The sequence below is a fragment of the Homo sapiens genome, chromosome 1 (genome assembly GCF_000001405.40).
Source record: "Homo sapiens chromosome 1, GRCh38.p14 Primary Assembly".
Taxonomy (NCBI): Eukaryota; Metazoa; Chordata; class Mammalia; order Primates; family Hominidae; genus Homo; species Homo sapiens.
Genome location: NC_000001.11, coordinates 171,975,484 through 172,002,332, shown reverse-complemented (window position 1 = coordinate 172,002,332; position 26,849 = coordinate 171,975,484). Strand labels below are relative to the sequence as shown.

General features: G+C 37.5%; 1 protein-coding gene across 26 annotated transcripts in view, besides 1 other annotated feature; it reads right to left on the bottom strand.

Annotated features, from left to right (window-relative positions):
* The window catches only part of DNM3 (dynamin 3), a 576,969-nt gene that overhangs the window by 416,134 nt on the left and 133,986 nt on the right, over positions 1 to 26,849 (bottom strand). For all 26 annotated transcript variants that reach the window (NR_146559.2, XM_017000979.2, NM_001350206.2 and 23 more), the window contains exons 3-4: positions 14,528 to 14,677; positions 13,185 to 13,388 (exon numbers count right to left, since the gene is read on the bottom strand). Coding sequence is in view for 25 of the 26 variants with exons in the window: in XM_017000979.2 (XP_016856468.1) it covers positions 13,185 to 13,388; positions 14,528 to 14,677 (354 nt within the window). In the remaining variant the exon portion in view is untranslated. The remainder of the gene's footprint in view (positions 1 to 13,184; positions 13,389 to 14,527; positions 14,678 to 26,849) is intronic.
* Positions 18,359 to 18,548: a silencer, noted in NCBI's record as "fragment chr1:171952925-171953114 (GRCh37/hg19 assembly coordinates)". NCBI's record gives its function as "represses an EF-1alpha promoter that drives an FKBP-Casp9 reporter gene in an ReSE screen in HepG2 liver carcinoma cells {active_cell/tissue: HepG2}" and the evidence as "EXISTENCE:reporter gene assay evidence [ECO:0000049][PMID:32094911]".

Below are 26,849 nucleotides of genomic sequence, written 5' to 3'. Positions count from 1 at the left end.
CCATATTATAAAAAGCTCAAAAACATATTCCTGAAGAAGTCAAAACATGGCTTCTATAAGCTACATATGAAGTCATTTTTTAATCTGATTTTTTCATACATATTAACTGATTCAATAAATATCAAGTAGCATTTGGGCGCTCAATGCAATTAATTAGCATCTATTACATTTGTTAAATTGGTCAAATAAGCAAAGAATTTTAAGGTAAAATGGAAATCTAATTGGGGTGAAGAACAGGTGCAGAGACAGATATAGTACCTGGAAAATAGGTTTCCTCCATGAATTGTTTTTATTTTTGCAGTTTATAAACATATTCTTTATATTCTGAGTGTTGACAATGCCTGGATGTTTGAAGCTTCTGCTCAACTAAGCAGCACCTCCACCATCTCTATGACCAGACAGCAGATTGGATATCTGCTAAATGTTGCCAAAGGTCAATGAATATCAGTTTACATCACCCATGGATTTTTAACATTTTCCAGATTTAAGAGGGAGATATCAAAAAGCAAACGCTGAAGGAGGTATGTAGGGACACACCCCCATAAGATGAATTTAAAAGTCTGCCACCAGCTGAGTAGTTAATTCTGGCCCAATTCACGAATTTCATCTCAAGAGAAGATGGTGCCCTCTTTCCCAGCCAGAGGTCTCACATTCCTCTTGGGATGGTTTTATACTCTAGGAAGACCTCTGGTCATGCTAGATTTAGAAATGAAATTCATTTGCTGTGAAATAAATCACCGTGAAAGGGATTTCCAGACACATTTGCCTCCCTAGCGAGGCCTTTGAACAGCCCTCTATTGTAGATGACAAACTGGATGGGTAATGCTAAAATACTGCTGTGCTCAGAAGATAAAAGGCACAGTTATAGTCTTCATGGGTAATGAACTCATGATCAAGTAATCAATCAACACCACCACTAACTCCTCTGCTTTCCATACAGGAAATGTGAATGTCTCTCAAGGGTGAACGGTTCAGCCAGGGTATAGCAATATCTATAAAACAAGCAGATGTCAGTGACACTGCTAGGCACCTTGAGCAGCAGTGTAAACATAATGTCTTTATTATACAATCATTAGAACTTACCAGGATAGGCAGATATTCAGCCATCATAAATAAACTCAATACGATCAAAAGCTATCTCCCCACTAATCAATTTATCAACTAACTTCATCTGTCTCCATGTCCTCTTCCTTTCCTATGATTAAAATGGAAAAATAATCCAATTCTCTTCAATCTATGGCCAGGACTCTCACAGGTGCCCTGTATCCCATCCTCATTCTCCTAAATCAAGGACATTTCTCACTCATTTTTCCTGCCTTTATCCCATTCTCCTGCATTTATCTCATCTCTATCCTCCATCACCAATTTAATTTCTCTTCTACATCATTTCCATCAAAACACAAACAAGTTATAATATCTCCCATCTTTCAGAAACATTCTTTTCATCTTACACTACTATTGTTAGTGTTTCATTTTTCTGTTTCCCTCTACAGTGGGCCTTGAAGAGCTGTCTATAATTCCTGTCTTCACTTCCTCACAGCCAAGTTTTCCTTGAACCCTCTCTAAGGAGACTTTCCTACCAAACCCTTCTTATCAAGGTCACCAGTGACCTTCAAGTGCCAGATCCAATGGTCAGTTCTCCACCCTTATCTCCATTGGGTGAAACATAAAAGTCTAGTTTTGATACAAAGATTGGAGGTGAGGATGATTTGGACCGAGTTCAAGGTTGTTTTCTTTCTGTTTACTACTGAATCTTCCAGCAGTGGATGGAAAGGAATCAGGAGCTAAGAATACAAGTGACTGAATGGATGCAGCTTCTCAGCATCTTCCTGGCTCCTCAGAGAGCAGCATTTTAAGTTTGAAGTCCAATACAGCCTGTGAGAACTGGGGAAAACTGACAAGCCAGAGGGACAAAGAAATATGGGTGCTCTGTCTTTGACGTCTTTAGGTTGGGAGCAATCTAGCTGTTACTGGGCTTCCTCACATTCCTAAGCAGTAGGCCTGGTTGACCTGCCACATCACCCTCCTCTATCTCTCAGCCACATTTGGCATGGCCAATTACATTGCCCTTCTTGAAGCCATTTTTCTCTTGTCCTCTGGAATGCCACAGTCACTTGATTCTCTACCGCTTCTTCATCACCTCTGCTATTTTCCCTCCTATTCACCACTGCTAAAATACTGGAGTGCCCCGGGGCTCTGTCTCTGGCCCTCTTCTCTTTTCTACCTACACTCATCTCCTAAGTAATCTCAATTCAACTAGTCTCAAAGCTGTAGACACCACCTGAATTAATTCCCTAGGGCTGTCATAACAAATTACCACAAACAAGTGACTTAAAACAACAGGAATTTGTTGTCTCACAGTTCTGCAAGCCAGACATCCAAAATCCAGCTGTCGGTAGTGTCATGCTGACTCCCTCCAAAGCCTCTACAGGAGGGTTCTTCCTTGCCTCTGCCAACTTCTGGTGACTCCTAGCATTCTTTGGCTGTGGCAACATAACTCCAATCTCTGCCTCCATCTTCACATGGCCTTCTATCTTGTCTCTCTCTGTCTTAAATCTCTCTCTTTTCTCTTATAAAGATATCAGTTATTGGATTTTAGGGTCTACCCTAAATCCAGGATTATCTCATCTCAAGATACTTAACTTAAAAACATCTGCAAAGACCTTATTTCCAAATATTCACAGGTATGGGATGGGGGAGAGTAGACTGTTGGGCTTTACATATATCTTTCTTGGAGGGGTGAGGAGCACAGTTTAAACCTGTATACCACTATAGACTGATAACTCAATGATTCATAACTCCAGCTTGAAACTCTGCTCTTGAACTGGATCCAGTCTCTTATATGTAATACCACCACTTAGGTGTTTAATGAGCATCTCAGATTTTACATATCCAAAATAGAGCTCTTGATCTCCCACAATATTTTCTTCTCTGAATATTCCTAATCTCAGTAAATGACACAACCACTTAACCTGTTCCTTTGGGTAAAACCCTTGGAGTCATCTTTGACTTCTTTCTTTCAAACACATGAAGCAAACCATTAGTAAAGTCTATCAGCTCTACTTTCACAGTGTACCTTGAATCAGACAACTTCTTCCCTCAGTACCATTCCTCTCTTATTCCAAAGCACATCACCTCACCCCCTACTGGACCTCTCTGATAGAATAACCTAACTGGTCTCCTTGCTTACATTCATGCCCGTCTTCAGTCTTTTCTTCTCACAGCAGCCACACTGACTATGAAAACATCAGTCAGATCTTGCCTCTCTACTCTTAAAACCCTCCACTGGCTGCTCAGCCCACTTTGAAAAAAATACAAAGCCTCTGTTGTGATCTACAAAACCCCACATGATCTGGGCCCTGCCTACCTCTCTGATTGCAGAACCAACCACACTTTTCTGCTGAGTTCCAGCCTCAACATCCTCCTTGCTGTTCCTCAACATGTCAAGCCAGTTCCACTCTCATTCCTTTGTGCTTACTGTCCCCTTTGCCTGGAACACTCTTCTTCCAGATGGTCACAGGGCTTATTCCCTCACTTCATCAGTTCTCTGCTTAAATGCTGCCTCCTTAGGCCGTCTGTCTAAGACAGCATTCCCAATCAATCTCTCTTCCCGTATTCTGTTTCATTTTTCTTTGCAGCACTTATTTTTCTTCATAACACCTGACATTATACTAATGGGTTTTCTGTTATCTGGCTGTTTCCCCCATTAGAATACAAGCTCTAGAAGGCCAAGAATTTTGTCTTCTTCACCACTGTATTCCTGATGATAAGAATGGTACTTGACACATAGTAAGTGAGCATTCATTATTTGTTAAATAAATGAACAAGCAACTAGAATAATCTTTTAAAATTAATTAAAGCAATGTAGCCACATTAAAAACTGATATGGAAAAGTGAAAATTACATTAAACCAATTGAAGACAATGCTCACTGAGTGCTTTGTGGATGTAATCAAGAAGCATTCATTTAGTAACATAAGTGTGAACTCCTAAACCAATTGTTTTTCCTGCATTCACAATATTTGATCTAGAAGTTTAGAGCAAACCACAGTGTAACTTTAACAGTGTTTCACCATATTTAGTATTGTAAAATTTCATATTTTGGCTTCTTTATATTTTTTAAGTCTAACATGTGTTCATGATTATCGCTGAATAAAGTGCTTATAACAGACAGAGATAGATGATATAATGGAAAGAATTACACTATTGGCATCTGAGACAGGCACTTTTATCATGCATCAGCCTCTTACCAGCTGCTTGACAGTGATCAACTTCCATGACCTCTCTAGCTCAATTCCACCTATAGAAAACTGGGGTGATGCCACCTGACTGGCATACTTTGGATTATAACATATGCACATGGTGTTATTACACAACTCATTTCACTTGAATTAATATATGCTGCAGGCCAAATCACATCCCCTAAAACATGAAAATGTTCATTTCATAAAGCTGATCATCCAGGGACTTCTGTGACTCTTCACACACAAGATGCCATGTAAACCAATAGCCTATTTTTTAGAATGGTGGAGAAACAAGAAGATAATCAGAAACACGTACTGAGCACCTGCTAGTCTAGTGTACTACCAGGTGATACAGCACATTGAACTTACACTACTGACCAGGAGCATTTTGCTGGCTCAACAGATGCCTGATAAATGTCTTTTAAGCAACAAATTAATAAACTAACAAAGGGAGTGACTGAATTGTTAGTGTATATGAGCACGACTGTAAATAGCTGAATGGTTCCTGTCCCATCTGGGGTGCCAATAAATAAATAAACAAAATAGCTGGAGGAAGTGCTCCTTTGAGAAAGCACTGAACGCTCTCTCTATGGCGAGACTGTGCTAGGAATCTTAGTCTGCTCCTTTACTCTAAATCCATGAGCAGCAGCTAGCATAGTCCTGAAGCAAATCAAGCCAAGCTCAGGATAATCCTCCTTCTATCCCACCCCAGCCCCAACCTACCTAAGACCTTCTTTCACCTATAGTTAATCTAGCCATTTGCAGATGAATCTGAAATTATGCTTATTGCATAACACATTACTAAAATATTCAAAATAATTCTATTACAATTCTATTTTTTAGTATTATCAAGCCTCATTAAATCATATGGGTGTGGGCAGTAGTTTGAATTATGAAATATAACTGATTGCTTTAAAGAAAAGCTTATTAAATTTATAAGTTCTATACAACAAATAAAATAACAAAGCCTGGTAAAGTTTCCTTTAATTATTTTCAAGAGGAAAATAACTGCTAGCATTTGGTTAGCTATTTCGACTAAGTGTTATCTTTTTTTTTTTGAGACAAGGTCTCACTCTGTCACCTAGGCTGGAGTGCAGTAGCGTGATCACAGCTCACCACAGCCTCAACCTCCTGGGCTCAGGTAATCCTCCCACTTTAGTCTCCCAAGTAGGTGGGACTACAGGCATGCGCCACCACATCCCACTAATTTTTTTTATATTTTTTGAACAGACGGGGTTTCACCATGTTGCCCAGGCTGGTCTTGAACTCCTGGGCTCAAGCAATCTGCCCACCTTGGCCTCCCAAAGTGTTAGAATTATAGGTGTGAGCCACCATGCCGAGCCAATTATTATCTTTATAATAATTTATCTTAATTATTATAGCAAACTTTTGAGGTAAGGGTTATGATAATTTCATTTCATTTTAGAGATTAAGTAATAAGGTTCAAAGAAGTTAAATAACTTGCCCAAGGACACACAATCAGGATGTGATGGATCTGCTTCCAAGCCCTGTGTTTATTTTTATCTACATCATTTAATAAGGCACCTAGCAGAGGAATGGTCTGATGAAGTGGAAAAAGTACTGGAGGAGGAGAGGAGGGGCTATACCATAAGCACATGGTGTGTTTACAGGTATGTTATTCAACCACTGTATATATTACCTAGAAAAACTTCCTTACCCCAAAATAGGATCTCACCCATACCAACCTCTAGTATTCTGGTGAAACTAAAGCAAAAGTAAGAGCACTTTGAAAAGTAAAGACCACTATACAGAGAAAAATATATTCAAAACATCATATAATTCTGATGGCTAGGAGTTTGACATTTCAAATTATATAGCCATTCCCCTTGAAATTATGCTAAAAACCCTCTTCTACTCAGTAAAACTATTTTTCACAAATGATGCAAAAGATGAGCTTGAACTTTGTCTAGCCACAAATTTGTGACATTCTACATATACTGAAAGAATAATTTCATGTGAAACTTAATATAAAATATATGTAAATACATCCCAACATTTAATAATACTTATTTTATAGAAGTTTTCAATCTGAATATTATTATGCAAATAATTTATAATTAACTTATCAAGATGAGCTGTCTTCCCAAGCATATATTCCAATATACTCAAATCCCGTTTAGGTGAAAATTGCCTGTCTATTGTCAAAAAGATTTAATTTAGTACAAAGTAGCTACTGCCTAAAATACACTACCTCTCAGAAGACGATAATTATGTACCTTGGTGGATAAGATTCTAATTCAGATAAATAAAGAATGAAGAATGGTCCTCTACTATCTAAATAGGTCATCCTGCTTAGCCAAGGGCAAAATATCAGGAAAGATGTACATTAAGTGGTGAGAACAGGCCACTTGCACAGTCAACCAAATCATTCCTGAAGACCAACAGGGTAACAGATGTCATAACCAGATTGCCCTCACCATCCCAACTCAAATGACTGTTATATGAAAAGTTTGTTGTTATTACAGTTGTATAGGACCAGAATGAGGAATATAAACGGGAATGCTGGAATAAGGACCTCTGAAAAGGCCACTTCTCCATAAAGGCAGTAAGAAAGAACACTGGCAAAAATTGTTAAAGCCAACTGTTTCAGAACTCTGGAAATTAACCAAAGGCTTACAACAATCTGAGGAGTAAATATTCAAAAAAAAAAACACCTGGATTTCTAGCTAGGCACAGTGGCTCACACCTGTAATCCCAACACTTTGGGAGGTCGAGGTGGGTGGATCTCTTGAGGTCAGGAGTACAAGACCAGCCTGAGCAACATGGTGAAACCCTGTCTCCACTAAATGCAAAAAATTAGCTGGATGTGGTGGCACATGCCTGTAATCCCAGCTACTTGGGAGGATGAGGCAGGAGAATCACTTGAACCCAGGAGGCAGAGGTTGCAGTGAGCCGAGACTGTGCCATTGCACTCCAGCCTGGGCAGCAAGAGCAAAAACTCCATCTCAAAAAAAAAAAAAAAAAAAAAAAAACCTGGATTTCAGTAAGAACAACAAGCCGTATGGTGTTTGAACTTGCCCTATGCCCATCCCCCTCTCATCTCTACAGTAGCCTTGAAAACAAAAACACCACAGTCATGATGAAAATCAGAACCCTAGAAACCCCTGGAGGGGACAGAATGGGGTTGGAGAGCATCAAAAATACAATTTTCAGACAATTGTAACTATTTAACCTGTCTAGCAGTTCCCTAAAAACCCCCATTCACAGGGCTTTTCTTTACTTGACCTGACTCAGAGCTTATTCAGTGTGAAAAGCCTCTTTCCCCAGAAAAAATTTGTCAAAAATAATCAGTGGCAATTGTTCAACATCACAGGTCTCAGGGAGCAATAACAATTGGGGCAAAAAAAAAAAGAAAGAAAGAAAAAACTAACCAAAAAACTTAAAAGGAAAACTTGGGAATGAGATGGCCACAAAGGCCATTGAAAATTTTGTATATATGTACAACCTAGAATCTAGAAAGCCACATGCATGTTTGGGGTTTTGTGCAAACACAGCAAAGACCTCAGAAGATCCTAAATTCTCACCTCTAGCTCACCTTGAGCTCTGCATAAGCAGGAAGTTAGGATTAAGGCAGAGTTGTAAACTGTCTGCCTGAGCATTGAAGCCATACCCCAAAATGCACATTGAGAGCTTTGGTAAATGTTTAGCGATTTACTGACTCTAGTATTTAAGAAGATCCCTGTCCTGACCACTAAAAAAAAATGCTGAGCAAAGACTTAAGTGGCCACACACGACAAAGAATATAGACTTGCAGAATTGGTTCATGAAAATTAGTAACCAAATAAATAGCACCTGCAGCAACAATAAACAGCAACAAAAACTGGAAGGGAGAGAGGAATCTGGTTTCTAGTGCTGCCACATCACATTATTTAAATATCTAATTTTCAACAAAAAAATTTTAAGATATGCAAAGAAAGTATGGCCCACCCAAAAGAAAATATACAGTCAATAGAAACTGTCCCTGAACAATCCCAGAAATTGAAATTACTAGACAAAGGCTTTAAATCATCTATTTTAAATATGTTTTAAAAACTAAAAAAAAATAATAATCTAAAGAACAAAAAGAATGTATGAGAATAATGTTTCACCAAATACAGAATATCAGTAAGGAGACAGAAATTTTTTTTTAAAAGAACCAAATAGAAAATCTGGAGATAAAATAACTGAAATAAAAAAATTCACTATAGAGATTTAATAGCAGATCTGAACAGGCAGAAAGAATCAGCAAACTTGAAGACAGATCAATTGAGATTGTTCCTCCCAGTCTAAGGAAAAGAAAGACAAAAGAAAGAATGAAGAAACATGAACAAAGTCTCAGAGATTGGTGAAAACATCTTACCAACATACATACCAACATACACATAATGTGATTCTCAGAAAGAGAAGAGGAGAGAAAGAGGAAGAAAGAATAGTTGAAGAAATAATGGCTGAAAATTTATCAAATTTGACTTAAAAAGCATTAATCTACACATCCAAGAAGGTCAACAAACTCCAAGTAGGATAAACTCAACAAGATCTGTACCTACAGATATCATAATCAAACTGCCAAAAGACAAAAAAAAAAAAAAAAGAATCTTGAAAGCAGCAGGAGAGAAGAAAATCATGTTCAAAGGATCCTCAATGAGATTGACAGCTGAATTTTGACCATGGAGGTCAGATGGTAGTGGGATGACATACTCAAATTGATGAAAGGAAAAAAACTTTAAGTAAAAATTATCCTTCAAAATTTAAGGAGAAATTAAGACATTCCAAGATAAACAAAAACCAAGAGAATCCCTTACTGACAGACATAGCCTACAAGAAATACTAATGAGAGCCTTTCAGGCAGAAAAAAAAGGACACTGGACAGTAACTCAAATACCCAGGAAAAACTGAAGAACACCAGTAAAGTTAACTACATAGTTAAATATAATAGACAATATAAATGTATTTTTGTTTGTAACTCTTTTTTCTCATATCTGATTTAAAAGATAATCATATAAAGCTATAATTATATTTCTGTGTTGATAGGCATGTAATGTAAAAGTTGTGATTTGTATGACAATAATAGCACATAGGAAGGGGAGGGAGTGGAGCTATATAGGAGCAAAATGCTGTGTATTATTGAAATTAAGTTGGTATTGATCCAAACTAGATTGCTATAAATTAAGATGTTAATTGTAATCCTATGGCAACCACTAAGAAAATAACAAAAAAGTAAAATAAATGACCAAGGAATTAAAATTATATACTAGAAAATAAATATTTAACACAAAAGGAGATAGTAGCAGAGAAATAGAGAAACAAAAAGACATAGGACATACACAAAAAGAATGGCAAAATAGCACACATAAATTCTATCTCATCAGTAATGACTCCTACCAAAACTTTCAAAAGTCTCCTCTTGGGACCACCATATATAGGATATAAAAACTGGGGGCAAGTAGGTCTGTAAATGGTGGAGCAGCAGTTCTAATGATCCACAAAAAAGGAGATTTATTTTAGGTAAGTTCATGAACATTTACATGACAATTTCTAAGTGGCACCTAATAAAAATGAGTTTGTAAATAAGCCAAGCCTATGATAGTTTTTTTTTAATCTCATTTAACTTTCTGGAGTAGATTTGTGGCATAAAATGACATACTCCTGACTGACAGTCAATGCTATATTTTCCTTACGCTATAACAACACATCGAATATACTGGGAATGACTTTGTGGATATTGATTCCTTTCTGGCAAACTGATGACTCCCTCCACAAACATTCATTGCTCTCACCTAATGATCTGTGATCACATGAGTTTATTTTAGGTCATAAATGAATCTTCTTCTGAAAAGCCTGAGAAATGAGATGTAGTTACTGCCCATTAATATTCCCTATGTGCACAACAGGGGTAAAATATAGCATGAATATGTTAAACCAATTTTAAGAAATCACTTTACAAGATTTATTAGTTGGCCAATTTTTTTAGTTTACATTTATTATAAAATTCATAATACACACAAATAAAATATTCTCCAATGGCTTTTCTTCTACTAGATTGGAAGTTGTGAGGATGTGAGACAGGATATCTATAGCCATCTTGTCACCCTTGAAAAGAATTTATCTTAAAAAAGAAACAATTTCAAAGAGGCTGAACCAAGGTAGGACGAAAGAGAAATCAGGGACTGAATGGTATCATTTGCAGTCCTCCATGAAGCTTCATCTGGATTGTCATATTGCGGTACGCATTTTTAGTCTTCTTCCCTATTCCCCAGCACACAACTACTAAAGTCCTTGGAATCTTCAAAGTGATAAGTATCTTTTTGCAGGCTAATGGGTTGGTAAGTGGCTGGCAGCTCCTGGATAGCTTCAGCAAGTGGACTGGTCACTAGAAAGAACAGATATGACCTCCTAGGAGGGATGAGGGGCTGAAGTTTAAGTTGATCACCAATAGCTAATGATTTAATCAATCATGCCTACATAATGAAGCTTCCATAAAAATCCAAAATGGGCTGGGTTTGGAGAGCTTCTGGATAGCTGGAGATGCAGAGGTTTCTAGAGGATGGTGTGCCCGGAGAGAACATGGAAGCTCCACATCGCTTCTCATACATTGCCCTATGCATCTCTTCATCTGTATCCCTTGTAATATTCTTTATAACAAAGAACTGTTTCTCCGAGTTTTGTGAGCCCCTCTAGCAAATTAATAGAACACAAGAAGAAGGTTGTAGAAACCCCAATTTATAGCCAGTCAGTCAGAGCACAGGGTAAACAACCTGGATCTTGTAACTGGCATCAGAAGTGGGGGTCATCTTGTGGGACTGAACCCTCAATCAGTGTGATCTGATGCTATTTCCAGGTAAATAGTATCAGAATAAAATTTAATCAGAGGATACCTAGCTGATGTCTGCTGCAGAAAAGAATTAATTGCTTGTTTGCAGTAGGGAGAAATCACCACACATCTGGAGTCAGAAGCGTGTTTGAGAATATAGTAGGAGAAGCTGAGTTTGTTTTTTCTACGTGGACTACGTGTGGACTCCTCAGGAATGTGACTGGGCTGAACTCACTAGAATTCACTGATGGTATGACTCTCTCTGTCCCAATCAGACAACCATGGCTCAATCTCCTATGGGAAAGAAGGCTGTAAGACAGGAATGGTTCAGCACCATTTTTATAACTAGATTCCAGTCCCAGTTTATAATCTGACTCTTCCAAGCCACTGACGCTGTAAAGGGAGTCCTGGTGATGGTCCTTACTTGTCATCTGGAGCCTCTACCTGCTTGTTACAAGCCCCAGTTTCAGGGATGGTGGAGGAAACCAAGAAGAAAAAAACAGTTACCATTGCAGAATTCTGGAAAGGCCTAAGAATTGGAGAACCAATGCTAGGGTATAGGAAGAGCTGAAAATAAAAGAATTGGCTGAAGGCTCCTAGAGGACACACCCACATAGCTACCCTTCCTCAACCTCAGCAGAGTACTGAAGACTTGCTTCAAAAGAGGTTGAACCAGAGGGACTCTGGACTCCAGAAGAATTTCAGGAATGCCATCATGAAAGCAGAGGAATTAATTAAAAGTGTACACACTGAATAGTGAGAACCATCCTCCTCCCACTCCATCCCCTGACCCACCAATTCTTGGCTCCAAGAACACTAGACATCAGGCTTATACCAGACCAGCTCAGGAGAAAATACTCATAGAACCTAACAGTTGAGGAAGTCTCCTAACAAAATGGTCAACTCTCAGCACAGTTACTCCATGGGAAAACCCACTGGTCAATGAATCCCTGTCATGTACATAAATCAGCTTTTTGGTGCTCCACTCTCATGCACGAACAAGCGGCAAAAGATCGACAAACATTTGAAAAAGGTCTCTAACATCAAAGACAGAGACAAAAACAAACAATCAGAAAACAATAGATTCAGACAATGTAGATTACAAAAGAAAACCTTCAAAAAGCTCTCACTAAAGTCCTTGGAGGAAGATATTGTATTTATGAAAACAAGAACATGATGCTATTTTAAAAAATAAAAATAAGATTCACAAAGTAAAAATATGCTTTTGGAACCTCTAAAATGAATCAGAAGAGCAGAAGATAAAGTTGATAAAATCTTGCAGAAAGTAGAACAAAAAGACAAAGAAATGATTATAGAAGAGAAAGATTGAAATAAAGGATTCATTTAGGAGTTCTAACATGCTAATAAGAACTACAGATAAAAAGAACAAAGAAATTGGGACAATTAATTATCAAAAAAGAAAAATTCCTAGAACTGAAGAACATGTATCTCCATATTGAAAGGGCACATCATTGAATGCCCTTCCACAATCACTTTAAACAGACACACACCAAGGCCAGCACTGAGGTCTCTGAAGATAAACTGTCGTTATTCAACTTAGAGAAGTAAAAAGTTTAAACATACGCATAAGAAAGGACCTTTTCTGGATATTGAGATGACAATACCAAATAAATCCCTGCTTATACGTACATTTTTTCTCAAATAATTATAAGCTAAATAATATCTTACATGCATTAGAGCTTCCTATTTTAAAGAAACAAGACAAAGTAAAAAACACAAAGGTTTTTCACTGGAAGCATATGCAGGTAACTCATAATAATTAGTAGATTGTCTGAATTCTGCTGTACCAGAAGTTTATTTTACCAACTTTTTAAAATATGCAGCCCATGAGGCTTAGAAATGCCTGTTTTCTTAGATCTCATTATTCTTAGATTTATATAGATTTTGACTATATAAATTTCATTATTTTAGTAAATCTTTACTAAAATTATTTATTATTTTTTAATATTAAATACTGAATTTTCTATTTAAAATACAAAAGGTTTAACAACATTAATAATGGCTAATTTATTTATAATGAAACCAAATCTTAAGAATTTATGTTACCTTTAAAGATACCAAAACTCCTGACACTTTAATTCCTTCTCATCTTAGTAGTCACACACTCACCTTGAGGATCAACTTCTTTAGCTAGCTTCAGCGCATCTGAGTTTGCAAGATCAGTGTTGGCTGGAGTAACAGCTAAAATCAGACAGTTCTCCCTCGTGATGAACTGCATAATCATTTCTCTGATCTGATACTCGATATCTGGTGGCTGATCTCCCACAGGCACTTTAGTTATTCCAGGTAGATCAATAAGGGTTAGATTTAACACTGTGTGGAAAGGATAAAGGAGTCTTACATACACCTTCAATGCTAAAAGATAACAATACAGAATCATTTGTCACTTAGCTCAGCCTTCTACTTTGTGTATCTGAACAACTCCAACCCATGTGTGTAGAATAAAGAGCATAAAATAAAAATGGTTTTGCTAGTTTTCTCTATTTTTATGATATGATTGTGCTATGCCAAATGATCACTTTAACATAATTTGAAAGGCACTGATTTGCATGCCTAACAGTTTGCTCAGAAAGCTGTCATATCTGTAACTAGGGGGTTATAATTAAAACACCAAATGAGAAATGCATATGCTATCTGCCAGTCTTATACATTGCCTTCAAGTGGTATAAAAACTCACAGGGTAAGACTGCCCTTTCCTTAAAAAGTATCATTTTTTTTTTTTAATAGAAAGTTAACCACTTAGCCTAGTAGAAAGCTGTTAGCCATTCGTGGTGCCCTGGGTTTACTGAATCAGCTGTACAAACAGAGTCAGTGACAACATGACTCTAGCCCAACCTCTCCATATAAACAATGTTGGCACCAAGTACCCTTGGGAAGTCATAATTGAGCTTATGTCATTTATATTCTGTTTTAAAAGCAATAGAGCTAAGTAGGGAATAAGAAATGAAAATTTGCCCACTAAAAATTTAGTCAGCATACAGGTTATTTCCCATCACACATTATGGATTGGTTATCTAATTTATAAGTTTCTACCGATAGTCTGGGGGAAAAAGTCAGAGCTGATTTCTCAGGAAGAAAATAAATAGGACTATATATGGCTGCAAGACATCCAATAGGGGAAGATGCAACCATAGTAACATGTACCTCTAAGATTTCAGCAAAGACTGAAAAATGGAAGTTTTCATATATACCCTTCTCAAATTCTAAAAGCTTATAATAAAAATGAAGAAAAAATTTGATGACTAACTCAATTCTGTTTTTATTAAAGTCATCTCCTACTGCCTCTCCTTAAATGTCTTAAGAGCTCTTTGAACCATAACATTAATGGGCAGTATCCAAAGGATACCCTAGAAACCCAGCACTATTTGTATCTTCTGTACAAATGATGTATGTTAATTAATGTAGTATAAATGTTTGAGGAGAAGAATTTGGAATTTTATTATTTTACTTACCGTGTGGGGAATAGACTCGTAAATTAATGGGTATGGAGGAAATGCCTTTATTCATTCCAGTCACGCGATCTGTTTCTGCTTCAATCTCAAGGCGAACTTCATCAAAATCTGTAAATTTCTTTCCTTTGCAATGTAGAAACTCGGCATATTCTACAAAAATAAAACCAAAATGACACAACTTAAATTCATGCATTTTTGCCATAATTATAAAAGTTTCTTTAATTATAAGTCAAAGTATCCAATATTCTCTCTTCTTCCTTCATGAACATCCCACAGAACACAGTAGTTACTAAGAATCACAATTAATACTTTAGAAATATTAAACATAGTACAAATGCTATAGATGCTAAATTTGCCAATTTTCAGATAAGCAATTAAATACTAAAACCAGTCCCTAAACCATCTAGCCTATTAAATAATTTAAAGAAAATTTTGGCTATCCAAATGATAAAGCAAACAACAGCACCTGATTGTTAAAGACATTAGATCTGGGATACCTCTGAGTTCTGTTAGCATTCCCCTCTTCAGTATCACCATTTCATCAGGATGGAATGCCAAGTTATATAAATATATCTTCAGAAGGCAAAATAAGTTAAGGGAAATCATTTAATTTGTTAAAAATAAATAATATATGGAATCCTTTAGCTTAAAAACACACTATTGAAAATACCACATCAACTTATACAAAGACAATTTCTCAAGGAAAAAAGTTATAGAGTATTATATCAAAGCAAATATTTACCTGTAATGTAAAATTTTAAAAAAATCCCTCAGCAGAGGGAAAAACACTAAAATAACTACATAAATAACAAAACTGGGTTTTTAAATTTTCAGTAACATCCTACAAGCTGGTGTATTATCAATTTCTGTACCTACTTTGAGAGAAATCAGGTATGTAAAAAACACCACAATTTAAAAGAAAAGCTAGTACAGTACTATTAGATTTTTTAAATGAGTATAAATCTAACAAAGAAACAAATCTCCACAAAGATTTTAGTTTATCTAATATCTCAATGAAGAATTGTACAACTAAACTTAGACTATGCCTAAGCATCTTGGACCCAAATGCCAGATAAGAGCCTGTGAGGTCGAGGCTGCAGTGAGCTGTGATCATGCCACTGCACTCCAGCCTGGGCAAGAAAGTGAGACCCCATCTCAAAAAAAAAAAAAAAGCCAGATGTGGCAATTATTGGTAGCTTTACTACCATTACCCATCATAAACATTTAATATTCACTCTTGAAGATGAAATGGCAAGGTCAATAGCAAGAGAGCTATTGTGGCTGATCTCCCACGGGCACTTTAGTTACTGCAGGTAGATCAACAAGGGTTAGATTTAACACTGTGTGGAAAGGATAAAAGAGTCTTACATACACCTTCAATGCTAAAAGATAACAATACAGAATCATTTGTCACTTAGCTCAGATGTGGTCCGTGTCTTCAAGCAGGTTAGCATTAACTCAAAAAGCTAAGGATTAGACCACTGAGAAAAAACATTAATGCAGGTAGCATAATGTAAATGCTAACCTGCTCTTAAAATGATAAGAAAGGTAGAGATAGAAAAGATGATTTTAAGCTGTGGTACCCAAAAAAGGAAGTGGGGTATGGACTGAATACTGAACAGTAGGGAGGATTTTTACATGTGCAGGGAGAAAGAGGTCTTCCAGAGAATCAGAGAACCTTCATAGGTTCAACAAATCTGGCAGGTTGTCATCCAGTCTCTGCTCGGACCCATCCACTATTGGGTAACAGAAACTTTGATCTCATTGGAAAAAGCTCTGATTGGAAAATATTTATGTTTGGTATGAAACCTGCTTTCTTGTCATATTCCACTAGTCCAACTTTTGTCCTCTGGTGCTACTCAGCTGTGAAAAGGCCGTGTGCATTAATGTGAGTGTCAGCACCCTAAGTTTGTCTCCTTCCTGGGCCTCACACCCTTATCTTGCTTTGTCACATCACCACTCAGGCCCTCTGGTGGCAAAGATTTCCCAGTACCAACCCCAGCCACTCTGGCTGGAAAGGTCACAAGCTCCCAAAGTGGACCAAAAAGTTTCTACTTTAATTTACCAAAGAATTGAAATGACCTAGCTTTTTGGATGTTAGAATGAGAATCAGAGACGGATTTAATTTCTGTCTTTCCTGACAACATGCATGGACATGAGTATTTCTCTTTCTATCTTAGTTTCTCCATATAATGTGCCACTTTCTGAAAAACAGCAAGCTAAGTCTCCCGAAAGCTCATTCCTCTAATGCTGGAAGTATATCCAACAGTAAAGCCTCAACAGGCTGCAGAAATCTGGCCTGAAGAGATCAGTTCATCAAGATAAGGCATGTTCTTCTATACTTACCCTCATAGGCACTGTCTTTATTAGAATATAAATTCCCAGAAGATAGAGCCTTTATTTTATTACCCATTCAAAGCCTAGGCCAGTACCATGTGAATGTAAGAGTATATAGATAAGTAGAGGACAAAACAATACGAAAAACAAAAGAACAAAAGAAGTCAAATCCCAGAAAACAAGCAAAAATTAAAAGGAAAAATTAGAAATAATTTAGAAGAAATGGAACTGTGTTTTTTTCAATGCCATATATTCCATGGAAAATGCACCCTTCAAGACTTATGGCTATCACAACTGTTCTGTCATAGAGTTCATAAGCTTCTGGATCAGGAACTACATTTTCAATCACTGCTAATCGATACATTCCAGTTAACACAAATGTGGATCTCCTTTGTTGCCACTAGATGGCACCTACTTGCTTTCTCTGCAGGAAACATGCCCTTCCGGAAGGGTGTAAAATCAATGCAATTTTCAAATTAGATTTAAATGAGTTCTCAAACTCTTGAAAATACTTTTATCTTGGAATCAAGAGATGATAATTGTTCAGGACCATCTCAAACCTTTGTGTATTTTTATTTATTTTGTCAACCCCTTGGTCAATTTGCAGTGTCTTGTTGAGAATAGTGTCCCCCAGACAGATTCAAGGATTCCTGTATTCATTTATTTATTTGATTAATATTTATTGAGATCACTCTACTTGCCAAGAACTGTTTTAGAAATTGGGATATAATTAAGGGGGGAAAATAAGTCTCTAGGCTCACGAAGCTTAAATTCTAATCAGGTAAAAGAGTAAACAATATGTGTGTGTGTGATGCTAAGTGCTATGGAGAAAATAAAATAGCAGGGGGATAGCAAATGCTCTGGGAAAGGGGTTGCTTGGTTATGTGGTATAGATAAGGAAGGCTTCCATGACAGGGTAAAGTGACCTTTGAGCAATGACTCAAGAAAGGAAGGCAGCAGGCCATGCTGTATGGAAGGGCATCCGGGCAGAGTGCCTAAAGCAGATGTGTGTTCGGCATGTTGAGGGACAGCCAGGTCCACGTGGCTGGAGCACCGGGCGGTGTGGAGGGGAGGGAGGTGGGAAACAAGGCCAGTGCTGTGGACAGGCCTGGATGTGGAGGGCCCGTGGACCATTTTAAGGACTTTGATTTTTCGCTGAGTGAGATGGCAGACCATCTGAAGGATTTGGGGTAGAGTAGAAACATGCTGTGACCTAGGTTTGAAACAACTGTGGATGCTGTGTTGAGGACAGACAATGATGAGCAAGAAAGGAAGCTTACTATTGAAATCATCCCGGGGAGAGCTGCTGAGGCTTAGACCAGGGTGGCAACAGTGGGGTGGTGATGAGTGGTTAAATTCTAATGTATTTTGAAAGAAAAAGCAACAGAATTTGCTGATGGATTTAAGCTGCGATATGAGAGAAAGAGAAGCATCAAGGATAACTTCAAAGGGTTTGACCTAAGCCACCAGAAAAAGTTTGAAATAGAAAAAGACTGAAGGGAAGAGGATGAGAAGGGATGGGATGGGATGGGATGTGGGTTGGGACCTACTAAGCTTGTGATGGCCATGACACACCCATCCAAGTTGAGAAAAAGCACTGCTACTAAGGTTGAGGACCACACAGCTGAAGGAGACACCATTCATATTCAGTCTTTGGATAGGTGTCTCTACTCTGAAAAATTTCCAGAAGATGGCAGTCATGTGCTTGAGGAAAGGGCAGCTTTTTCTAATTTGTACAAAAATATCTTCACGGCTAGATATATGCATCTTTTGTTCATGGAGAAGTCCAAGTGAGAGATATATATTTGGTAGTCATTCAAGTCAGGTAAGTGATGAGATCACTAAGCAAGAGTTAGACAGGGAAGAGGTCAGAGTACCAGGCCCTGGGTTTTCCAAAGTTTAGAGGTCAGGAGATGGAGACTTAGAAGGTAGGAGAAAACAGTAAGGGGAAAACAAAGCCAAGAAAAGAGGAGACGTCCATCAAACCCTGCCAACATGTCCAGTAACATGAGGACTAAGAATGGATCTTAGAATTTGGCAACTTGAGGATCCTTCAGGAGGAGGTTTAAGGCAGCCTCAACCTCCTGGGCTCAAGTGATCCTCCCACCCTAGCCTCCTGAGTAGCTGGGACTACAGGCAGTGTGCCACCACATCTGGCTAATTTTTATTTATTTTTTGTAGTGATGAGGTCTCACTGTGTTGCCTGGGCTGGTCTCGACCTCTTGGCCTCAAGTGATGTTCCCACCTTGGCTTCTGAAAGTGCTGGGATTATAGGAGTGAACCACTGTGCCCAGCCAACAGTTCTTTTAAGGAGTTTTGTTGTAAAGAAGAGGAGAGAAGGGAGAGGGCAGCTACAGAGGGATGTGAAGTCAAGAGAGAATTTTGTAAAGATGGCAAATTAATGGCATGCTCATAGGCTGAAATGGTAACACCCAGGATAAGGGAAGTGAGAAGGCACAGATGCTGAAGTGATGTCTGAGGGGAGGGAAATAGGAGGCCAGAAAGAAAGAAACAAACATGCCAGGGCATCCATAGGAACAGGAAAGAGGCAGAACAATGAGCATGGATGAGATGAATAGGTAGAACTGATGGTGGTGGGAACCTGTGAAATTCATCAGGGGACTGTAGAGATTGATCATATTTGTCTGAAGTCATTTTACATCTTTACTGGTTAACTATGTGGTTTACTTGTTAACCATTTAACCATCTCACTGGTTAAACTGTATAAGTACTATTATACAGTTTATATACTACTATAATACTGTATAAATACAAAATGCATTATACACACACACACACACACACAAACACACACATGCATGCAAAAAGTGATCCTAAATGAGTGACCTCAGAGTAATCACAGCAGGGATGACAATTTGGGTCTAATCTATGTCCATCACTGGGGTTCAGACCTGCCCAGCCTATCTGGAAAACCGATAGGGCAGGAACCACAAAGTACTTTTTTCTACGGAAACCAAAGAGCCTCCTGGAAAAGAATTCAACCTACAGGATGGAAAATTCAGCAAAACAAGCTGACCTGGCTTTTCAGGAAAGGGCTACCTGTAATCTGTCTTCTACCTAGCTCCAGAGACTCATAGATCTGTGTCCTCTTGTCTCTATGATGATAATTGTAGTTTGGGGATGAAGGAAATTCTAGCATCTAAGTCAAACTCTATAGAACGAGTTGTACTAGCTGATCAATAGCTGGATCTTTTAATAGCTGCTAAATGTGTGTCTTCTACTATAGTATACTATGGTAAACCATAGTATACCATAGTTTACCACGGTTTTATACTATGGTGAACTAACATGTCTGAAGGTTACACAATCTCATCTTATAGTTTTGAGATACATTCTTTCTTACAGAAAGGTACAATTTCCAGTGGCATGAGCTCTCTTGACATGTTCTCAGTATTCCTTTCATTCTAAATGCTTCATAGTTGGGCACATGAAATGGTCTTTTCCTCAAACAACTTGAGGCTTCAGCCCAGCATCAATGTGAGTAGTCAGTGCATTAAATCTCCTAGCCACAAAGTCATACAAAGGATGAAGGTTATGTGTACATAAGCATTGAAACCGTGATAACGCATCCGTGAAATTTTATTTTGTCGCAGTATAACCTGTCTTATTGAAATTTATTTCATTTTCACAAAATAAAATTTCTCTGTTTTCATTTTCACAAAATAAAACTCCTAGTTTTGATTATTTTCTGTTTTTACAATGTTAAAAATAGCCTACAATTGAAGCAAAGGTTAAGATACATTACTATATCAAAGAATGATTAGGAAGGAAAAAAGGAGAATATTTAAAAAATCAGAGCTATAATTCTATTTTATTTTTATTTCCTTTTAAAACATTTTAGCACTGTCATTTTTACTGGTCATGAAAAACAAATTATGCTAGGTTAAACAACTGACAAACTGTTTGGGGGAAGGATGAGATGCATTTATGCCTGGGCAATGTTCCAATCATCTGTGAAAAGCACAGCATGACTGTAAGAATTTAAATATTTCCAATATGCCCCTTCCATGAGTAAAAATATGTATATGTCTTAATTAATCAAGGTTAAGTAGAAAGGAATTATTATAGAGCACTAGGAAAAAATGATCTCTTGTCCATCTTTATTCTAAGAATCAAGGTTCCTCAAAATTTTAACTGGAGTTTTCTTATTTCTGAAATGTTTTAATAGCAATGTTTTGTGAGCACAGGGCTCCAGTGAAAACAGAGTACAGGGGTCATATACATAAGGGACTGTCTTCAGTGCAACAAGCTGAATTCACTGGCTGTATAAAGCATCTATGTATGACTATATTTAAAAACATATTTCCTCAAAGGCAGAGATACATTTTACTCTTCTGTGTTTCCCTAATGCCTATTATATTTAGAGTAAAGAACATCTGTAGGCCGGGCACGGTGGCTCACGCCTATAATCCCACCACTGAGGCTGAGGCGGGTGGATCACCTGAGGTCAGGAGTTCGAGACCAGACTGGCCAACTTGGTGACACCCTGTCTCTATGAAAAATACAAAAATTAGCCAGGTGTGATAGCAGGTGCCTGTTATCCCAGCTACTCAGGAGGCTGAGGCAGGAGAATCACCTGAATCTGAGACGTGGAGGTTGCAGTGAGCCTAGATCATGTCACTGCACTCCAGCCTGAGTGACAGAGTGAGACTCTGTCTCAAAAAAAAAAAAAAAAAAAAATCTGTAGATTTCTTTCTTCTTTAAAGCAGAATACTTTGGATATAACAATGCTTCCAATAAATACTCCATGTTCTTACTCACATATGAAAGCTAAAAAAGTTGATCTCATAGAATTAGAGAGTAGAATAGTGGTTACTAGAGACTGAGAAGTGTTGGGAGGCAAAGGAGATAGGGAGAGGTTGGGGAGCAGATACAAAAGTACAGCTAGATAGGAGTAGTAACTTCCAGAGTTCTGTAGCACTGAAGGGGAACTACAGTTAAGAATAATAAATTGTATATTTTCAAATAGCTAGATGAGAGGATTTTGAATGTTCCCAACACTAAGAAATGCTAAATGTCTGAAGTGATGGATATGCTGACTACCCTAATTTGATCATTACACATGGTATATATATACTGAAATATCATACTGTACTCCATAAATATGTACAATTATTATGTGTTAATTAAAAATAGTAATTTCTAAATGCTCCCATCAAGTCATTCCAAATTGAAGGCAAGATCCTAGAATTTTAGTTTAGTTATATATTAATTACATAGGACCCAGATATAAAACAGAACTCAACTGTATTGCTAAAATAAACAGGGAAAGTCTAGCAATCAAAAAAAAAAAAAAGGAAATCTAAAGAAGAAAACAATTAACCTCAGGGAGTCCTGCAGTGGGTAAAAGTTAGAGGTCTCAGTAGGAGAGTTAAGAACAATAGGGTGAGATGGGAGTAAGTGGAGGGTGCCAAGATTTCATAAAAGACAAAAAGCTGGTGCCAAGCAGGTATCAGACCGGAGACAGAGACCAGGGTTTAAGATCAGGGCTCTGGTACTCTCAAGGCAAAGTAGGAAATTAAAACAAAACTCCAAATGCAAACTAGGCAGAAAACCAAGATGCAAATTCAGTCATGGAATGGAAGGCAGAGCTGTTTTGTCAAGATACAAAGCCGAAGCCAGTTGAACAGTATTCAGGGTCAAGAGAGATTAATATTAATGCCATCTTGAAATTTACTGCTGAACAATAGCCTTTACAGTTTTCTTCTGCTTCTAAAGCCTGGATAAGGCTTAGCCAAGAGGTGAAGGTTAAGGGGCCCCAGGTAACTGGAATAGTGCTGGTGGACAAGACCAAGGCCAGCACTTACAGAAATACCCAGAGATGGGGGACTTTTACAGAATATTCTACCACAAGTATCCAAAACAACAATCAGAATCCAGCAGCTGTTGATACCTACATAGCTCAACTTAGTTCTATATTTTTTTCCAAAGGAGCTCAAAGAGTATAACAAAAATCAACTCTATTTTATACTCATAGTTTATTTCCACGTAAAACACAATCAAGAGATAAACTATATTCCAAATCTTAGCTATTGTGAACCATGCTACAACAAACATGGCAGTGCAGATATCTCTTCAATATACTCATTTCCTTTCTTTAGGGTATATCTACCTACTATGTACCCACAAAATTTTTTTATAAAAGATAAACTATATTCCAAATACAGAAAACAGGAAAGAAGCATTCTGAGCACTTGGCCAAAAGTTGCAAACTATATAATTATTATAATTATTCTATGTCTTGGCAGCATCTGACACGATTGTCCTCCTCTTCCCTGAAACACTCTTCTGATTGTTCTCCATCTTCACTGATTGCTCTTTCTCCATGGTTCTTTGCTGACTGTTCCTTCCCTTCTCTTCTACACTTCTAAATATTGGAGTACACCAGACTTGTTTCTAGACCTTCTTACCCTCTTTTTCATCTCTATCCTCTCTCTCTAAGTGATCTCATCTAATCTCATTGCCTTAAAATTTTATATATATATCCTCTAAATTCACATCTCAGACATTCACCTCTCCCTTGAATTCCAGATTTGTCTATATCTAATTCTAATGCTTAACTGACATTTCCACTCAGATGTCTAATAGATATCTCAAAATATACCTGTTCAAAGCTTCCTTTCCTCAGCTCTCTTCCAAACACCGTCTCACTGCCTCCACTATGGCCATGCTACTTCTAAGCCTGCTCCACCTCTAACCTGTACTACCATAAAAGTAGCCTAACTGGTCTTTCTGACTCCACTCTTGCTCCATTGAATCCATTCTCCACCCAGTAGCTGGAAAGATCTCCTTAAAACATACATCACATCATGCTTCTCCCCTGTTTAAAGCCTTTTATTGGTTTTCCAGTACATTTAGAAAAATCCAGATTCCTCACCCTGGCCTACTCTACAAAGTCCGATACAGTCTGCCACCCATCTGCCTCCAGTGCCATCTCTATCACTACCTCCATCCTACCTACTCAGTCGCTCTGCTTGCAATGGCCTCCCTTCTGCAGCTCAAGAGCACCAAGTCCCTTCCTACCTCAGGGCCTCTCTATAAGCTGCACCTCTTCTGGAATGTTTGTCCCTCTGATCTCTGCATGTGTGGCTCCTTCCTGTCATTTCCTCATCCAAAATATCATCTCTTTAGAGAGGTTTCCCTGACTGGACAAAGTAAGTAGCATCTCTTAATCACATCCTATTACATTGCCCAGTTTTTTTCTTCGGTGCACATGGTCACTGTCTGAAGTTTTTCGTATTTGTTTTTTATTGTCTGTCTTCATCCACTGGCATATAAGCACCATGAGAACAGGAGCATTATCTGTCTTACCCCTGCTGTATTTCCAGTAACTAAACCAGTTGCATATTTGTAGAATTGATGAATAAATAAATGAATGAGTAGATGACTGAAGGAATCAACAAATAAACCTTGGAGGAGGCTTGAGGTTTGTGGATAAGGGAAAAAAAATGATTATAAATATGGCTTTTGACATGCTGAGCTTGAAATACATTTGAAATATCCAAGTAGAGTTTCAAACAGTCAGTTAAAAATGAGTCTGGAGTTTAGCCCAGGAACTATACATGTGAGAGTTGTAATGTTCAGGTTGTAATTGAAGCCACCGTGTGGAAGAGATTGTCAAAAGAAGAATATGAAATGACAACCAAAAAGGAGCCTTGGGCAGATGCAACCTTAAAGGCCAGATAGAAGATAATGCATTGGCAAGGGAGCCTGAAAGAGTAAACAAAGAGATAGAAGGAAAACCAGGAATATTTTTCATATAAGCCAAAGACATAGAGTAAATTTCAAGAAAGAATTGATGTCAAAAGCTGTTGAAAGGGCAAGGTAAGTTAATTATAAGGATGTAGGAAACCGTATAGTAGATGCTCAATTTCTATCTAATTCCAATTGGATAGAAAATTTAAACACTTTTTATTATTTCAATGATTTGGGGCTATAGATTACTTTGTTTACTTAAAAAGTGTTTTATGTGCTATTTTATGCTTTTTTTCTCCCCTTGTGTCTCTTCCCTTGCTATCAAGTTTACAGTTGTCACTTCTTGCTGTTCGCAACACATCTGTTTTTAAGCCATATTCCCATTCTCACTTGTGGTTTTATATTTTACTCTAGACTGAGAAATCCAATAACCCAGTATGCATGGTCTGAGTTTAAAATAAGGCTGGAAAGGCCAGAATAAGGCTGGGACCCTGTAATGCATGAGATTTACATCAAAGACTTTGTGATATCAGTTGGGTACTCAAGGCTCTTTTTTGCTTCCTCTTGATAATCAGCTAAGTTTAGAAACTGAAAATATCAAAAAGAGTTTCTGAATAAGGAGTTATTCCAATGTTTTTTAAGAATAATTGAATGTACTAATTCTGAGACAGCAAATGTCAGTCCTTGTTTTAATAATGAAAAATAAGATGATCTGCCAAATAAAAATCTATAGAGTAATTAAAAGCAAAATGATGAGACTTTGTCATGAAAATTCAAATAATCAGATTTCAATACAAAAAAATACAATAGAAAGTCTAAGATTTACAAAATGAAAATACTGTTTCCCCACAGAATCTTGGCCACAAGGAACAAAATTTATAAATGAGATTTAAGTAGTAGTTGTATCAGAACTCTAAGTATATAAATACGTAACTAAAAAATTTTTAAAGAAAATATCAGAGCTACAATATGCATTGCTGGATACATTATAATATCTCAAAAAACCACAAAAAACTTTTTCTATGAGTATGTAATTTTATACACAAGTTGCCGCCAACATTATTTCATCTAAATATTTGAAGGAGATCTTTAGTGTGTTTTTGGTAAGCTCCTTAAATGTCAATGATATGGTTTGGCTGTGTCCCCACCCAAATCTCATCTTGAATTGTAGCTCCCATAATTCCCACATGTCATGGGAGGGACCCAGTGGGAGGTAATTGAATCATGGAGGTGGGTCTTTCCTATTCTGTTCTCATGATAGTGAATAAGTCTCACAAGAGCTGATGGTTTTATAAAAGGGAGTTCCCCTGCACATGTTCTCTTGCCTGCCGCCATATAAGATGTGACTTTTCTCCTCATTCACCTTCCACCATGAGTGTGAGGCCTCTTCAGCCATGTGGAACTGTAAGTCAGTTAAGCCTCTTTCTTTTATAAATTACCCAATCTCCAGTATGTCTTTACTAGCAGTATGAGAACAGTCATCATGACAAATTCCTGAAAGTTGTTAGCAGCTGGAAACAGCCAACTTAATTTTTGTGTATGGTGGAAGGTATTAATCAAAGTTTATTTTTTGCATGTAAATATCTATTTTTTTCCAGTAACCTTTGTTGGAAAGACTACCATTTCTCCACTGAATTGCCTTTGTACCTTTGTCTAAAATCCATTGTCTACATATGTGTAGATCCATTTTTTGAATCCATCCTGTTCCATTGATCTATTTGTCTCTTTATGCCAATGCCATATTATTGATTATTGTAACTTTATAAGCCCTCATTTTAAGAGATAGGGTCTTGCTAAGTTGCCCAGGCTGAAGTGCAATGGTTATTCACAGGCACAATTATAGCACTGTACAGCCTGAACTCCTGGGCTCAAGCAGTCTCTCTGCTGGCTAGGATTACAGGCACAAACCGTGGAACCTGTATAATAAGTCTCGAGATCAGATAATGTTAATTCTCCAACCTCAATGTTATTTTTCAAAGTTGTTTTGGCTATTCTGGGTTCTTTTATTTTCATATAAATTTTAGAATCAGCTTGTCAGTTTCTACAAAACAATCTATCTTTTGAATCTTTATCTGCAACATTGTAACATCATTCAGAAAAATTTTCCTCTTCTGGCTCAAGCTTGCACATATATAACCACAACATGTTTTGCTAAAAGCACAAGTATGTTCCCATGATGCTTGCTCTGATAAACGTATTAAACTTTAACAAAATCACAGATTCTTATAACTTGGAGTGATATCTATTCTAAACGCTTTACTAATAGAGA